The sequence below is a fragment of the Homo sapiens genome, chromosome 12, assembly GCF_000001405.40.
Source record: "Homo sapiens chromosome 12, GRCh38.p14 Primary Assembly".
Lineage (NCBI taxonomy): Eukaryota > Metazoa > Chordata > Mammalia > Primates > Hominidae > Homo > Homo sapiens.
Genome location: NC_000012.12, coordinates 71,108,155 through 71,126,089, shown reverse-complemented (window position 1 = coordinate 71,126,089; position 17,935 = coordinate 71,108,155). Strand labels below are relative to the sequence as shown.

The following is a 17,935-nucleotide window of genomic DNA, read 5'->3' as shown; positions in this document are numbered from 1 at the left end:
CTGTCTATCATTTCTACGTCAAAGATACAGCATGCAAGTCACCAACTGTAGAGCCAATTAGAGCAAATTTTGGGGTCCCTCATTCTTGGGAGAGCTACTTGAGATGGAAATTATGCCCCAGATTTTCAGCTGTGCTTTTTCACTTCAAAAGAAATTCCTGAATTAAGCTGTTCCCCATAGTTTAGAAGCTTTTTTAAAAAAAGAGTTACTTCATTTTTTATTCCTCTTGGAAATGCCTAAAACTACAGCAAGAGAAATTCTAGACTTCTTGATTTTTATGCAGATGATTTAAACCAGATGATCATAACCTTTTTATGGAAGCATTACGTATATTTAGCCCCCAGGGACCTGAGATCCCCAGTGCTCCAGAGGAGACGCTCTGCAGAAGAATGTGTGTGTTCCAGAAAAGGGAGTAGGTCCTCTGGTGGCAGCTGCTACTGTGCAGTTTATATGGGGCCAGTTAGATAGAGGCTGATTGGCCAGCTAAAAAAGCTGATTAAAACACAAAAAAAACTCAAGAGAGCTTTTGCAGTGCTCTTTTGTCCCATTGGAACCTCTAATTTCCCAAGAGAGATGAGTTAGATAAGATTGGAACTGTCAATATACAAAATCTTTTCATATATAATGTTCTTTCTGTTTATTTATAATGTGTCCAGTGTTTTCCCTTAAATTCCATGTTAATCCTGTTATTTTGTTCTCTAGATACTGGGTTTGGTGTTTTCTATGGTCCTGTATTGCCAGATCGGGAACAAATGAATCTGTGGATGCATCAACCTATCGTCAGTCAAACCCCTTTAAAATGTTGCTTTGGCTTTGTAAATTTAAATATGTAAGTGCTATATAAGTCAGGAGCAGCTGTCTTTTTAAAATGTCTCGGCTAGCTAGACCACAGATATCTTCTAGACATATTGAACACATTTAAGATTTGAGGGATATAAGGGAAAATGATATGAATGTGTATTTTTACTCAAAATAAAAGTAACTGTTTACGTTGGTGCTTTTCTATGTCTGATCATTGTATTCAGGTGCTACAGTGCTTAAAATGTTCTTCTGGAGCCACCCAGTGGAATAATCATCTCTAAGGTGACAGGGCCATAGATAGTTAAGACAGTGGATCTGGGGCTTTTCAGAAACGACACTCTTTTATATGATGTATCAACCATTGGTGATAAGACTGAATCAAGTCTAATGTTAAAATAATTGACAATGATCCAGGTAAAAGAGTCACCATCTCTTTTCTATTTATGTCAAAGCTACTAATAGTATGTCTCTCTTTTGCTGCATATCTATTGTATGAACAAAAAGGTCTGAGTGCCCAGCACCCAGCCATTGCTTCTCTGGTACCCATCTGGATCTTCCTCTCAGACACAACAGTTGTAACTTTTTTTTCTTTCTAGTTCTCAGAAATATTTAACATTTTTGCTTTGTATAGAAGTATAACATACATACAATATAGTCGATAATTCTTAAAGTATAGCTCTTTTAATATATGTACATCTGTGTAAGGACTAAGATCAGAGTTGGGCACAGTGGCTCATGCCTGTAAGCTCAGCTACTTGGGAAGCTGAGACAGTAGGGTCTCTTGACCCCAGGAGTTTGAGACCAGCCTGAATAATAAAGTGAGACCCCCATCTCCAAAAAAAAAAAAAAGAAGATACAGAATATTTCTAGCACACCAGAATGCTCCTTCATGCCACCTCTCAGTGGTGGGGTGTATTTGGCTCACACAGACTTGCTAAGCAGATTGTACACATATACACAAAAGTTTTGTACACAAAGTTCTTCCCAACTTTGTGTTCAGTAACATGAGATTGGTACCTTGAAATCTACCATGCTCGGAGTATTTATGCCATAGAAACTAACAAATGCTGTAAATTCAGGGCTTTTCTTTCTTTTCTTTTCTTTCTTTTCTGGAGAGCTGGTTGATAAACATTTACCAATATACTGCCCTCTCTGTAAATATTTCCCTAAAGGTAACCACTTTTCTTTTTTTTTTTTTATTATACTTTAAGTTTTAGGGTACATGTGCACATTGTGCAGGTTAGTTACATATGTATACATGTGCCATGCTGGTGCGCTGCACCCACTAACTCGTCATCTAGCATTAGGTATATCTCCCAATGCTATCCCTCCCCCCTCCCCCCACCCCACCACAGTCCCCAGAGTGTGATATTCCCCTTCCTGTGTCCATGTGATCTCATTGTTCAATTCCCACCTATGAGTGAGAATATGCGGTGTTTGGTTTTTTGTTCTTGCAATAGTTTACTGAGAATGATGATTTCCAATTTCATCCATGTCCCTACAAAGGACATGAACTCATCCTTTTTTATGGCTGCATAGTATTCCATGGTGTATATGTGCCACATTTTCTTAATCCAGTTTATCATTGTTGGACATTTGGGTTGGTTCCAAGTCTTTGCTATTGTGAATAATGCCGCAATAAACATACGTGTGCATGTGTCTTTATAGCAGCATGATTTATAGTCCTTTGGGTATATACCCAGTAATGGGATGGCTGGGTCAAATGGTATTTCTAGTTCTAGATCCCTGAGGAATCGCCACACTGACTTCCACAATGGTTGAACTAGTTTACAGTCCCACCAACAGTGTAAAAGTGTTCCTATTTCTCCACATCCTCTCCAGCACCTGTTGTTTCCTGACTTTTTAATGATTGCCATTCTAACTGGTGTGAGATGGTATCTCATTGTGGTTTTGATTTGCATTTCTCTGATGGCCAGTGATGATGAGCATTTTTTCATGTGTTTTTTGGCTGCGTAAATGTCTTCATTTGAGAAGTGTCTGTTCATGTCCTTCGCCCACTTTTTGATGGGGTTGTTTGTTTTTTTCTTGTAAATTTGTTTGAGTTCATTGTAGATTCTGGATATTAGCCCTTTGTCAGATGAGTAGGTTGCGAAAATTTTCTCCCATTTTGTAGGTTGCCTGTTCACTCTGATGGTAGTTTCTTTTGCTGTGCAGAAGCTCTTTAGTCTAATTAGATCCCATTTGTCAATTTTGTCTTTTGTTGCCATTGCTTTTGGTGTTTTGGACATGAAGTCCTTGCCCATGCCTATGTCCTGAATGGTACTGCCTAGGTTTTCTTCTAGGGTTTTTATGGTTTTAGGTCTAATGTTTAAGTCTTTAATCCATCTTGAATTGATTTTTGTATAAGGTGTAAGGAAGGGATCCAGTTTCAGCTTTCTACATATGGCTAGCCAGTTTTCCCAGCACCATTTATTAAATAGGGAATCCTTTCCCCATTGCTTGTTTTTCTCAGGTTCGTCAAAGATCAGATAGTTGTAGATATGCGGCGTTATTTCTGAGGGCTCTGTTCTGTTCCATTGATCTATATCTCTGTTTTGGTACCAGTACCATGCTGTTTTGGTTACTGTAGGCTTGTAGTATAGTTTGAAGTCAGGTAGTGTGATGCCTCCAGCTTTGTTCTTTTGGCTTAGGATTGCCTTGGCGATGCGGGCTCTTTTTTGGTTCCATATGAACTTTAAAGTAGTTTTTTCCAATTCTGTGAAGAAAGTCATTGGTAGCTTGATGGGGATGGCATTGAATCTGTAAATTACCTTGGGCAGTATGGCCATTTTCATGATATTGATTCTTCCTACCCATGAGCATGGAATGTTCTTCCATTTGTTTGTATCCTTTTTTATTTCCTCGAGCAGTGGTTTGTAGTTCTCCTTGAAGAGGTCCTTCACATCCCTTGTAAGGTGGATTCCTAGGTATTTTATTTTCTTTGAAGCAATTGTGAATGGGAGTTCACTCATGATTTGGCTCTCTGTTTGTCTGTTGTTGGTGTATAAGAATGCTTGTGATTTTTGTACATTGATTTTGTATCCTGAGACTTTGCTGAAGTTGCTTATCAACTTAAGGAGATTTTGGGCTGAGACAATGGGGTTTTCTAGATATACAGTCATGTCGTCTGCAAACAGGGACAATTTGACTTCCTCTTTTCCTAATTGAATACACTTTATTTCCTTCTCCTGCCTAATTGCCCTGGCCAGAACTTCCAACACTATGTTGAATAGGAGTGGTGAGAGAGGGCATCCCTGTCTTGTGCCAGTTTTCAAAGGGAATGCTTCCAGTTTTTGCCCATTCAGTATGATATTGGCTGTGGGTTTGTCATAGATAGCTCTTATTATTTTGAAATACATCCCATCAATACCTAATTTATTGAGAGTTTTTATCATGAAGGGTTGTTGAATTTTGTCAAAGTCTTTTTCTGCATCTATTGAGATAATCATGTGGTTTTTGTCTTTGGCTCTGTTTATATGCTGGATTACATTTATTGATTTGCGTATATTAAACCAGCCTTGCATCCCAGGGATGAAGCCCACTTGATCATGGTGGATAAGCTTTTTGATGTGCTGCTGGATTCGTTTTGCCAGTATTTTATTGAGGATTTTTGCAACAATGTTCGTCAAGGATATTGGTCTAAAATTCTCTTTTTTGGTTGTGTCTCTGCCCGGCTTTGGTATCAGAATGATGCTGGCCTCATAAAATGAGTTAGGGAGGACTCCCTCTTTTTCTATTGATTGGAATAGTTTCAGAAGGAATGGTACCAGTTCCTCCTTGTACCTCTGGTAGAATTCGGCTGTGAATCCATCTGGTCCTGGACTCTTTTTGGTTGGTAAACTATTGATTATTGCCACAATTTTCAGCTCCTGTTATTGGTCTATTCAGAGATTCAACTTCTTCCTGGTTTAGTCTTGGGAGAGTGTATGTGTCGAGGAATTTATCCATTTCTTCTAGATTTTCTAGTTTATTTGCATAGAGGTGTTTGTAGTATTCTCTGATGATAGTTTGTATTTCTGTGGGATTGGTGGTGATACCCCTTTATCATTTTTTATTGTGTCTATTTGATTCTTCTCTCTTTTTTTCTTTATTAGTCTTGCTAGCAGTCTATCAATTTTGTTGATCCTTTCAAAAAACCAGCTCCTGGATTCATTAATTTTTTGAAGGGTTTTTTGTGTCTCTATTTCCTTCAGTTCTGCTCTGATTTTAGTTATTTCTTGCTTTCTGCTAGCTTTTGAATGTGTTTGCTCTTGCTTTTCTAGTTCTTTTAATTGTGATATTAGGGTGTCAATTTTGGATCTTTCCTGCTTTCTCTTGTGGGCATTTAGTGCTATAAATTTCCCTCTACACACTGCTTTGAATGCGTCCCAGAGATTCTGGTATGTTGTGTCTTTGTTCTCGTTGGTTTCAAAGAACATCTTCATTTCTGCCTTCATTTCGTTATGTATCCAGTAGTCATTCAGGAGCAGGTTGTTCAGTTTCCATGTAGTTGAGTGGTTTTGAGTGAGATTCTTAATCCTGAGTTCTAGTTTGATTGCACTGTGGTCTGAGAGATAGTTTGTTATCATCTCTGTTCTTTTACATTTGCTGAGGAGAGCTTTACTTCCAAGTATGTGGTCAATTTTGGAATAGGTGTGGTGTGGTGCTGAAAAAAATGTATATTCTGTTGATTTGGGATGGAGAGTTCTTTAGATGTCTATTAGGACTGCTTGGTGCAGAGCTGAGTTCAATTCCTGGGTATCCTTGCTGACTTTCTGTCTCGTTGATCTGTCTAATGTTGACAGTGGGGTGTTAAAGTCTCCCATTATTAATGTGTGGGAGTCTAAGTCTCTTTGTAGGTCACTCAGGACTTGCTTTATGAATCTGGGTGCTCCTGTATTGGGTGCATATATATTTAGGATAGTTAGCTCTTCTTGTTGAATTGATCCCTTTACCATTATGTAAGGGCCTTCTTTGTCTCTTTTGATCTTTGTTGGTTTAAAGTCTGTTTTATCAGAGACTTGGATTGCAACCCCTGCCTTTTTTTGTTTTCCATTTTCTTGGTAGATCTTCCTCCATCCTTTTATTTTGAGCCTGTGTGGGTCTCTGCATGTGAGATGGGTTTCCTGAATACAGCACACTGATGGGTCTTGACTCTATCCAATTTGCCAGTCTGTGTCTTTTAATTGGAGCATTTAGTCCATTTACATGTAAAGTTAATATTGTTATGTGTGAATTTGATCCTGTCATTATGATGTTAGCTGGTTATTTTGCTTGTTAGTTGATGCAGTTTCTTCCTAGTCTCGATGGTCTTTACATTTTGGCATGATTTTGCAGCGGCTGGTACCGGTTGTTCCTTTCCATGTTTAGTGCTTCCTTCAGGAGCTCTTTTAGGGCAGGCCTGGTGGTGACAAAATCTCTCAGCATTTGCTTGTCTGTAAAGAATTTTATTTCTCCTTCACTTATGAAGCTTAGTTTGGCTGGATATGAAATTCTGGGTTGAAAATTCTTTTCTTTAAGAATGTTGAATATTGGCCCCCACTCTCTTCTGGCTTGTAGGGTTTCTGCCAAGAGATCCGCTGTTAGTCTGATGGGCTTCCCTTTGAGGGTAGCCTGACCTTTCTCTCTGGCTGCCCTTAACATTTTTTCCTTCATTTCAACTTTGGTGAATCTGACAATTATGTGTCTTGGAGTTGCTCTTCTCGAGGAGTATCTTTGTGGCGTTCTCTGTATTTCCTGAATCTGAACGTTGGCCTGCCTTGCTAGATTGGGGAAGTTCTCCTGGATAATATCCTGCAGAGTGTTTTCCAACTTGGTTCCATTCTCCCCATCACTTTCAGGTACACCAATCAGACGTAGATTTGGTCTTTTCACATAGTCCCATATTTCTTGGAGGCTTTGCTCATTTCTTTTTATTCTTTTTTCTCTAAACTTCCCTTCTCGCTTCATTTCATTCATTTCATCTTCCATTGCTGATACCCTTTCTTCCAGTTGATCGCATCGGCTCCTGAGGCTTCTGCATTCTTCACGTAGTTCTCGAGCCTTGGTTTTCAGCTCCATCAGCTCCTTTAAGCACTTCTCTGTATTGGTTATTCTAGTTATACATTCTTCTAAAATTTTTTTCAAAGTTTTCAACTTCTTTGCCTTTGGTTTGAATGTCCTCCCGTAGCTCAGAGTAATTTGATCGTCTGAAGCCTTCTTCTCTCAGCTCGTCAAAGTCATTCTCCATCCAGCTTTGTTCCGTTGCTGGTGAGGAACTGCGTTCCTTTGGAGGAGGAGAGGCGCTCTGCGTTTTAGAGTTTCCAGTTTTTCTGTTCTGTTTTATCCCCATCTTTGTGGTTTTATCTACTTTTGGTCTTTGATGATGGTGATGTGCAGATGGGTTTTTGGTGTGGATGTCCTTTCTGTTTGTTAGTTTTCCTTCTAACAGACAGGACCCTCAGCTGCAGGTCTGTTGGAATACCCTGCCGTGTGAGTTGTCAGTGTGCCCCTGCTGGGGGGTGCCTCCCAGTTAGGCTGCTCGGGGGTCAGGGGTCAGGGACCCACTTGAGGAAGCAGTCTGCCCGTTCTCAGATCTCCAGCTGCGTGCTGGGAGAACCACTGCTCTCTTCAAAGCTGTCAGATAGGGACATTTAAGTCTGCAGAGGTTACTGCTGTCTTTTTGTTTGTCTGTGCCCTGCCCCCAGAGGTGGAGCCTACAGAGGCAGGCAGGCCTCCTTGAGCTGTGGTGGGCTCCACCCAGTTTGAGCTTCCTGGCTGCTTTGTTTACCTAAGCAAGCCTGGGCAATGGCGGGCGCCCCTCCCCCAGCCTCGTTGCCGCCTTGCAGTTTGATCTCAGACTGCTGTGCTAGCAATCATCGAGACTCCGTGAGGGTAGGACCCTCCCAGCCAGGTGCCGGATATAATCTCGTGGTGCGCCGTTTTTTTAAGCCGGTCCGAAAAGCGCAATATTCGGGTGGGAGTGACCTGATTTTCCAGGTGCGTCCGTCACCCCTTTCTTTGACTCGGAAAGGGAACTCCCTGACCCCTTGTGCTTCCCAAGTGAGGCAATGCCTCGCCCTGCTTCGGCTCGCGCACGGTGCGCGCACCCACTGACCTGCGCCCACTGTCTGGCACTCCCTAGTGAGATGAACCCGGTACCTCAGATGGAAATGCAGAAATCACCCGTCTTCTGTGTCGCTCACGCTGGGAGCTGTAGACCGGAGCTGTTCCTATTCGGACATCTTGGCTCCTCCCCAAGGTAACCACTTTTCTGACTTCTGTGACATAGACTCGTTTTGCCTGTTCATGAATTTTCTCTAAATGGAATAATAAAGTGTGCACCCTGGCTTCTTTGACTCAACATCTTGAGTGTGAGATTCATCTATTTGTTGCATGTAGCTGTAGTTTATTCTAGTTGCTATGTAGCATTTCATTGCATATGAATATATCGCAGTGTATATATCCATTCTTCTGTTGATGGGTATATAGTTTGCATTCAGTTTGTCACAATTATGAGTAAAGCTTCTATAAACATTCTTTTATATGTCATTTGGAACATATATGTACTCATTTCTGGCTATATATGCAGGAGTGGAACTGCTTTGCATACATATGTTTAGCTTTAATAGATTCTGTCAAGAAATTTTCTAAATTTTTCTTTTTTTTTTTTTTTTGAGATGGAGTCTCGCTCTGTGGCCCAGGGTGGAGTGCAGTGGCAGGATCTCTGCTCACTGCAACCTCCACTTCCCAGGTTCACGCCCTTCTCCTGCCTCAGCCTCCCGAGTAGCTGGGACTACAGGCGCCCACCACCACACCTGGCTAATTTTTTGTATTTTTTAGTAGAGATGGGGTTTCACCGTGTTAGCCAGGGTGGTCTCAATCTCCTGAACTCATGATCCGCCCGCCTCGGCCTCCCAAAGTGCTGGGATTACAGGGTGAGCTGCCACGCCCAGCCTTTCTAAAGTTCTTGTCCTAATTTATGCTGATACTGGAAAAGTATAAGAGACTCAGTCTCATCTTCTGAGGAGGAGAAACATTAAGAGCAGTTCTTGTCAAGCAGATTAGAGTGGCTGCCAAGCAGTAGGAAACTTGGGGGAGCTTTGGGCTGGGTTAGGCACCCTTATTCTATGCTTCCGTATTAATGATAAAAATAGTGGCTGGGTGAGGTGGCTCACGCCTGTAATCCCAGCACTTTGGAAGGCTGAGGCGGATGGATCACGAGGTCAGGAGATCGAGACCATCCTGGCTAACATGGTGAAACCCCGTCTCTACTAAAAATACAAAAAATTAGCCAGGCGTGGTGGTGGGCACCTGTAGTCCCAGCTGCTCAGGAGGCTGAGACAGGAGAATCGCTTGAACCCGGGAGGCGGAGCTTGCAATGAGCTGAGATTGCACCACTGCACTCCAGCCTGGGCGACAGAGCAAGACTCCATCTCAAAAAAAAAAAAAAAAAAAAAGCTATCCTTCTTTGAGTACATGTCAACTTCCAGGAACAATACCCAAATCTGTGCTTTTATTATCTCATTTTTAATCACTATATCCTTATGAGGTAGGTACTATTATCATTCCCATTTCACAGGTAAGAACATTGAGGCTCAGAGGAGATAGATATCTTGCTCAGAGTCAATTAGTAATTGGCAGAACTGGGAATCAAACCCTGTCAAATGTGTCCCAATCCCTGACTGTTGATCATGTTAGCTTTCCCATAATAAATTTATCAATAAACTTGCCATATTTTATTATAATTACCCATTCATGTGTTTGCCTCTGTTAGCATCCTCAAACTCTTTGAAGGCATTGATAGTTTTTTATTTGTCTTTATTTCTCCAGTACCTATTGCTGTGCTTGGCATAAAATAGGCACTTAACAAATTGCAGCTAAAAATAATAGATTTATTGAGAGTGTACTGTATGCCTACATATATTCTAAGTACTTTACATAGAGTAACTCATTTAATTCAGAACAACCTTCTTAGTTTGATACTATTACTAGACCAATTTACAGATAAGGAAAGCAGGGCCTAGAGAGATTTAACTTTTCGTAGGTCATGCAGCTAGTAAGTGGAGGAGTTGTGATGCAGTCTAAGTAACTCAAAATCCATGTTTTTTACTTCATACCATTTTGTCATATGTTACGGTGTTATTGGGATAGATGAGAAAATGAATATTAACATGTCTTTTGCATAATGTTGGCTACATATTACAGGATCAACAAATATTATATGGTATCAATGATATAAAGAACTTGTATTAGTCAGGGTTGATGGAAAAACGTCAGCTATTTCAAACAATGAACTCCTATATTAGCTTGGACTGTCATAACAAAATACACCTGACTAGGTAGCTTAAATAACAGAATTTTTTTTCTCAGAGTTCTGGAGTCTGAGAAGTCAAGGATCGGGGTGCTGGCCTATTCAGTTCCTGGTAAGGGCTGTCTTCCTGGCTTGCAGTTGAACTACTTCTTGCTGTGTCTTCACAAGGTAAAAAGAGAGAGAGAGAGAGTGTACACTCTGTTTTGTCTTCTTATAAAGACAATAATCCTATCAGTCCAGGGTTCCACCCTTATGACCTTATTTAACATTAATTACTTTCTTACTCCAAATACAGCCACAATGGGGGCTTCAACATACGAATTTTAGGGGGAAACAATTCAATCCATAGTAACTGCTTACAGAGGTGATGGAAAAAGTAAGAGGACAATTAGGAGGCAAAGTAAACCAGAGATTAGCAACAGTAGGAGTTACTACTACCCTTAGGACTGGAGAAACAGAGATAATGTTACCAGAGCCCAGGATCCAGGGCCACGTTGTAGAAGATGAACCATGGCTTGGATTCCAGAGAAAGACTAACAGGAACAGGAGCCATGGAGACGTAGCACTCATTATCAGAAGAAGAGAGAGAGGACAGAGAGAAGTGCCCTGGCTTCTCTCCCGCCCACTTCAGTCTTCTCTCAGACTTCCATTGACTGAGGCCACCTAGAAACCAGAAAACAAGTGGCCCTGGAAAATGTAGTTTCCTCTGACCCGAAGCAGAGCTGAGAATGGCAAGGACTGGGCTGAGAGCAGACAGAAAGAAAAGACTGTTAGATTAAGTTTAGCCCAAAGATGCCTTCTTACAGAGTCTAAGTTTTACCTAAAGGTTTCTCTGTGCACAGTGAACTGTAACCTAACTGGGTGTGTAAACCAACCATAACCTACTCTTGTGCCAGTCACTCAGTTTTGGCCAATTAAAGGCAGCCAACTATTCAAACTCGGTTCAAGTAAGGCAAACACAGAACTGTAAGCAATCCAGCTGTTTCTGTACCTCACTTCCATTTTCTGTACATTACTTCCCTTTGTGTCCATAAATCTTCTACCACCTGGCTGCGCTGGAGTCTCTCTGACTCCAGTGAATTATTCTTTCCTCAATTAAGCTCTGTTAAATTTAACTTGTCAGTGATTTTTCTTTTAACAAGACTGTAATAGCAAATTGAGAGTTAGAGAGTAGGCAAACAGATTCTGAACTTTTTGAGAAAAGGATATGAAAATTGCAGAAAGTGTAACTGAGATTTAAAATTATATGAGAGTTTTTGGGATTCTTTCTATTTTAGCTCCAAGTTCACAATATTTTAGGGGTCTAGAGGACTTAGAACAGTTGTTCTTTACTGGAGGGGGTCATTTTGCCTCTCAGGGGATATTTGTCAATGTCTGGAGACATTTTGGTTGCTACAATGGGTAGCAGGGGGATGTTACTAGTATCTAGTGGGTGGAGGCCAGGAATGCTGCTAAACTTTCTACAATGTACAGGTACATGCCCACAACAAAGAATTATTTAGTCTAAAATGTCAATACTGCTGTGATTGAGAGATCCTGCTTTAGAGAATCACACATGTGAATAACAAAATATCCTTGTCGGGAGACAGTGAAATCCGTGTTAAAAAGTGAATTGGATTGGAGTCGGTCCTAGATCAGGCTCTGACTCCTTGCCGGTTTTGTATCCTTTGCAAGTCACTCAGTTTCCTCATCTTCAAATAATAAATGTTATTGAAAAGATATTTAAGTAAGTTCCCTACCATTACTAGAATCTCTGCATGTACTAACTTCTTAAATGTGTTTGGTTTTCTGCTGTATTTTTAAATGTCAACATTTATTTGCTTATGATAGTTCACCTAGGCTTTAACTTAATTGTTTTTGTACTGAAGGCAATTATGAGAGAAATTTTTACTCTCCTGAAGGACATTAAACTCAGATTTAAGAATAGGCTCATTCTTTACCTTCAGGTTTCCAAGGTCAAGCCACAATATTTAAAAATATATTAAATTTGATTAAATTACTTAAGGAATATAGCAAGAACAAAATAAAAGTAAACTCTCATCAAATTAATAATTCAGTGTAGATGGAAATGCTGCTTTCATTTCACAGAAATGTAGGAATTATCTTATGCTTAAGACTGTACAATTGTACTAATTTAGATATACAATATGTATATTAAAGCTTGGCAAATGCTTCTCAAATCTGTCCACTGCTCTGCTTTCCTGTCACTTCCATCCTATCTTCTCTCTCCCAATCCATCCTGAGGAAGGATCATTGCAATGATCTTGTGATGGGTTTTCTACATTTTTTTCCTTCTTTATATCCATTTCCCATGGTGCTACAGGAGTGATCCATCTAATGCAGATGTTATCGTGTTATATTACTCTCTCTCAAGGTTACTCCTCTACTGACTACCAGGTCCTTCATAAGCACCAACTCCACCTTTCCCTGTGATATGGTTTGGCTGTGTCCCCACCCAAATCTCATCTTGAATTGTAACTCCCACAATTCCTGCGTGTCATGGGAGGAACCTAGTGGGAGGTGATTGAATTATGGGAGTGAGAGGTGGTTGAATTATGGGGGTGGGTCTTTCCTGTGCTGTTCTCATGATAGTGAATGAGTCTCATGAGATCTGATGGTTTTAAAAATGGGAGTTTCCCTGCACAAGCTCTCTGTTTGCCCCACTGCCATCCATGTAAGACATGACTTGCTCCTTCTTGCCTTCCACCATGATTGTGAGGCCTCTCCAGCCATGTGGAACTGTAAGTTCATTAAAACTGTTTTTCTTCCCAGTCTCAGGTATGTCTTTATCAGCAGCATGAAAATGGACTAATACAATAAATTGCTATCAGGAGAATGGGGCATTGCTGAAAAGATATATAAAAATGTGTAATGTGGAAGCAACTTTGGAACTGGATAACAGGCAGAGGTTGGAACAGTTTCGAGGGCTCAGAAGAAGACAGAAAAATGTGGGGAATTTTGGAACTTCCTAGAGACTTGTTGAATAGCTTTGACAAAAATGCTGATAGTGATATGAGCAATAAGGTCCAGGCTGAGGTGGTCTCAGATGGAGATGAGGAACTTGTTGGGAACTGGAGCAAAGGTGACTCTTGTTATGTTTTAGCAAAGAGACTGGTGGCATTTTGCTCTTGTCCTAGAGATTTGTGGAACTTTGAACTTGAGAGAAATGATTTAGGGTATCTGGTGGAAGAAATTTCCGAGCAGCAATGCATTCAAAAGTGATTTGAGTGCTCTTAAAGGCATTCAGTTTTATAACAGAAGCAGAGCATAAAAGTTCAGAAAATTTGCAGCCTAACAATGTGATAGAAAATAAAATCCCATTTTCTGAGGAGAAATTAAAGCTGGCTGCAGGAATTTGCATAAGTAACAAGGATCTGAATGTTAATCACCAAGACAATGGGGAAAATGTCTCCAGGGCATATCAGAGGTCTTCATGGCAGCGCCTCTCATCACAGGCCTGTAGACCTAGGAAGAAAAAATGGTTTTGTGGACCAGGCCCAGGGTTCCCATGCTGTGTTTGGTGCCCTGCATCCCAGCCGCTCCAGCTATGACTAAAAGGGGCCAAAGTACAGCTCAGGTTGTGACTTCAGAAGGTGTAAGCCCCAAACCTTGACAGCTTCCACATGACATTAAGCCTGCAGGTGCACAGAAATCAAGAATTGAGGTTTGGGAGCCTCTGCCTAGATTTCAGAGGATGTATGGAAATAGCTGGATGTCCAAGCAGAAGTTTGCTGCAGGGGCAGCACTCTCATTGGAGAACCTCTGCTAGGACAGTGAGGAAGGAAAATATGGGGTTGGAACCCACACACAGAGTCCCTACTGGGGCATCACCTAGTGGAGCTGTGAGGAGAGGGCCACCATCCTCCAGACCCCAGAATGGTAGATCCACTGACAGCTTGTATCATGTGCCTGGAAAAGCTGCAGACACTCAACACCACCCCATGAAAGCAGCCTGGAAAGAGGCTGTACCCTGCAAAGCCACAGAGGTGGAGCTGCGCACGACCATGGGAACCCACCTTTTGCATCAGCATGACCCACATGCAAGACATGGAGTCAAAGGAGATCATGTTGGAGCTTTAAGCTTTGACTGCTCTGATGGATTTTGGACTTGCCTAGGGCCTGTAGCCCTTTGTTTTGGCCAATTTCTTTCATTTGGAATGGCTGTATTTACCCAATGCCTGTATCCCCATTGTGTCTAGAAAGTAACTAAGTTGACAGGCTCATAGGCGCAAGGCATTTGCTTTGCTTCAGATGAGATGTTGGACTGTTGACTTTTCAGTTAATGCTGAAATGAGTTAAGACTTTGGGGGACTGTTGGGGAGGCATGGTTGGTTTTGAAATGTGAGGACATGAGATTTGGGAGGGGCCAGGGGCAGAGTGATATGGTTTGGCTATGTCCCCACTCAAATCTCATCTTGAATTTTAACTCCCACAATTCCCCTGTGATCATGGGAGGAACCTGGTGGGAGATGATTGAATTATAGGGGCGAGTCTTTCCTGCTCTGTTCTTATGATAGTGAATGAGTCTCACAAGATCTGATGGCTTTAAAAACAGGAGTTCCCTGCACAAGCTCTCTCTTTGCTTACCACCATCTGTGTAAGATGTTACTTGCTCCTCCTTGCCTTCCACCATGATTGTGAGGCCTCCCCAGCCATGTGGAACTGTAAGTCCATTAAACCTCTTTCTTTTGTAAATTTCCCAGTCTTAAGTATGTCTTTATCAGCAGTGTGAAAATGGACTAATACGCCCTGCTCTTCTGCAGACCCTCCTCCATATGCACCCCGTGAGCCTTCAACTTCCTATTCTTATCCCTTCACATCTTTGCCATGTTGCTCCCTATGCCCAGAATGACTTTCATATTTATGTTGTTGGATTCCTTCAAGGTCTAGCTCTGATGTCCCCTACTGTATGAAGCTTTTCTGAATCCATTCAGGATAAAATTAATTTTTTTATTTATTTATGTTTTTCATAGCATATTATATTAAAATATCACTTATCCTAATATATTTGGCTAGCTTTTTGTTGTCTGCATTTTATTATAAACTCCCTAGGTACTCCTGATCTGCTGAATTAAACTTTTACCCCAGAGCCTAGCATGGTACCTAGAATATATTAGCAGCTCAATAAGTATATATTATTAACATCGTAGTACATTTGCAGAATGGTATCCATTTTTATTTTATAAAGATATTCCATTGAATATAGATATTTTACTTATAATTACAATAACTAATACATGTAGCATAGTACTTATTATATGTTTGGCACTATTCTAAAGAATTCATGCATATTAACTCATTCAGTTCTTACAATAATTCTATTATTAAACTTATGCTCATTTTACAGATAAGAAAATTGAAATGCAGTGAGGTTAAGTAAGTTGCTCAAAATTAGTAGTGCCAGGATTCAAACTCTGCTACTGATATGGACAGGAGGCTGGAAAATACTGGGTAGAAGAGGGTGGAGTCCCTGGCAAGGGTTCCACCCTAAAGCTGGGCCCCACAGCCCTAAATGAGAACTTTACTTCCCTGTTTTCCCACCTGAATGTTGCCTTTTGGCCCAGCATGCCCCCATCCTGTGCCGATAAGAACTCCAGACCCCAAACTCAGCTCATACACACACGGAAGAGAGAAGCATCTGAACATCAAGAAGAGAAGAAGCTGCTGGACATCAGAAACTGTGAAAGGAGAGGAGTTTGGCTGAGCTCCAGGGGAAGACTGCCTGCACATTCTATCCCCTTTTCAGTTCCCCATCCTGCTGTCAGCCACATTTACCACTCAATAAAATCTTCACATTCACCATCCTTCAAGTCCGTGTGACCTCATTCCTCTTGGGCACTGGACAAGGACCCAGTTGCGGGTGCAGTAGGCTGTCACACTGACTCTCCACTGAGCTGTTTAACACTTAAGTTGTCTGTAGACAGCAAAGCTAAAACAGCACACTGTAACACATGCCCTCTGGGGCTCTAGAGGCTGTGGACAGCCCCTAGACGCTGCTGTGGGCTGGTAAGGAGTTTATTCCTGCTGGTGCCCAAAGGCACTCACCCCAGCTCCTGCACCCACTCACCTACATCTTCCCCCTCTTTCAAGGGGTTTGAGCACTGCAGGCTGAGTAAGCGAGCCAGCGCTTCACAAGCCCCATGGGGTCAAGGGAACCCATCTCACTACCCTAGCTCCACAGCTTACATCCAAGCCATAATACCATTCTCCATCTCTTGGGGAAAAGTTGATTTGGCTAAAAAGCAGGGTTTTAGATCCTTTTTGAGTAGCTGAATTGCTGAGGATAATACTTGAACATTAGAGTATGTTGACATGTTACCATGAATCCAAATAAAGTGGTCTCCTTTCACCCATCCTTATATTTTGTGTACACTCCCTTCCTAACATTACTCCCACTATATTATTTCGGATTTATTTCCATTCTGCCTCTTTTATCTGATTGGGAACAACTTGTGGTCAGAAATGTGTCTTTTTTTTTTTTTTTTTTTTTTTACTTTGTGACCTATCCATGCACAGTATGGTAACTGGCAGATGTTTGCCCAACCAATGTTTATTGGATAAAATGATAAGGAATAGTCCATGTATCTTAAAAGAAAATAAAATTGCCACATCCATAAATACAAGTTGGTAAGACCTGTGATTTACCACCAATTGACTTAATTCTAAGAGATGAGATTAGAATATCATGTCCTTTTTCATGAGAGTTTATTTAGTTACTATTTTAATCTTCTCTATTACAATGGGAGGTGATTAAGAGCTGTTGAATCTGGAGTCAGATTTGTCAGGGTTCAAAATAATGGCTGTAACATCTAGGTGCTGAGTGATGTTGGGCATGTTACTTAATTTATCTGTGCCTCGTCTGAAGACCAAGGATAAAAGAAATCTCTATAGGACTGCTGTGAGATTAAATAAGACAATACATGCAAATTGTTTAGAACATATAGTAGAGTTAGCATTCTGTGTTAGTAGCTATAACATCATTATTATTGTAAAAATAATTACACTTAGTATTTAAGTATACACTTACCAAACTTTGTTTTTGATTATGAAGCTTCTTTACACTTCAGAGAAAGTTTAGGCCCATCAACAACTTCATCTTCAAAGCTCTGAGTTTTTGAAATGGGTTTTGACAAGAACACCTCCCAGAAGGATAAATCTTCTGCTCAGAATCTCTTTCCAAGGCTGATATCCAGTTGTCATATAAATAGTGGAATAAAAAAGACAGAGAAGGGACAGTGGGCCAGGAACAGAGCCGCATAAAATGACAGACAGTAAATGAAAAGGAATGTAATTTAGAATCGTCCTAATGTGAAACAGCATGCATCAAGACAAGTGGAGTGATAGCTCTGTCAGCTTTGCTGGCAAGGTGACCCCCAAATAAGTCATGTCTACTTAATACAATGTGAGCATCAGTTGTGGCAGCGCCAAGAGCGACAACTAACTAAGGCAAACACAACATTGCACCTGGCTCACAGTATCTCCAAGAGTAATTTGTAACACTATTTCAAGTGATTCCAATAGAACATGTTGTTCTCTGCATAAATCATGCTTTTGGGAAACAGGTTAGGGTTCATGGCAAAATAGAGATGAAAATTATCTGGAATGTTATAAACAAGCAAGAAATTATTAGGAAGTTTATAACTGAAAGCCATAATAACTGGCAATTGGGCTTTTCTTAATAACCAAAAAATATTTAATATAGAAACAAGCAAGTCAAGCAAACTAAGCCCAGTAAGTACTCAGAAATAAAATATGTATCAAATGTGTGTAATGAGTAATAGGATGTGACCAGTACTGGTTGAATTGAGAACAAGGGAGTCTCATGGGTCTAGAAGCTGGAACTGTGGCTTCTAAGACAGGCTG

At 40.9% G+C, this 17,935-nt stretch overlaps 1 protein-coding gene and 1 long non-coding RNA gene across 3 annotated transcripts in view, besides 1 other annotated feature; both read left to right on the top strand.

The window, feature by feature from the left end:
* Positions 1-994, top strand: part of TSPAN8 (tetraspanin 8) — a 32,904-nt gene extending 31,910 nt beyond the window's left edge. For both annotated transcript variants that reach the window (NM_004616.3, NM_001369760.1), the window contains one exon: positions 703-994. In NM_004616.3, coding sequence (NP_004607.1) covers positions 703-756 — 54 coding nt within the window. In that variant the 3' untranslated portion in view covers positions 757-994. The remainder of the gene's footprint in view (positions 1-702) is intronic.
* LOC124902961 (uncharacterized) lies at positions 7,505-15,874 on the top strand. Its single transcript, XR_007063363.1, has 2 exons — positions 7,505-8,020; positions 10,132-15,874. It is a non-coding gene; the product is annotated as an uncharacterized LOC124902961 (long non-coding RNA).
* Positions 7,846-8,384: an enhancer, noted in NCBI's record as "H3K27ac-H3K4me1 hESC enhancer chr12:71511486-71512024 (GRCh37/hg19 assembly coordinates)". NCBI's record gives its function as "activates a minimal SCP1, AML or CMV promoter by ChIP-STARR-seq in naive H9 embryonic stem cells {active_cell/tissue: H9 hESC(naive)}" and the evidence as "EXISTENCE:reporter gene assay evidence [ECO:0000049][PMID:30033119]".
* Positions 15,875-17,935: the final 2,061 nt, after the last annotated feature.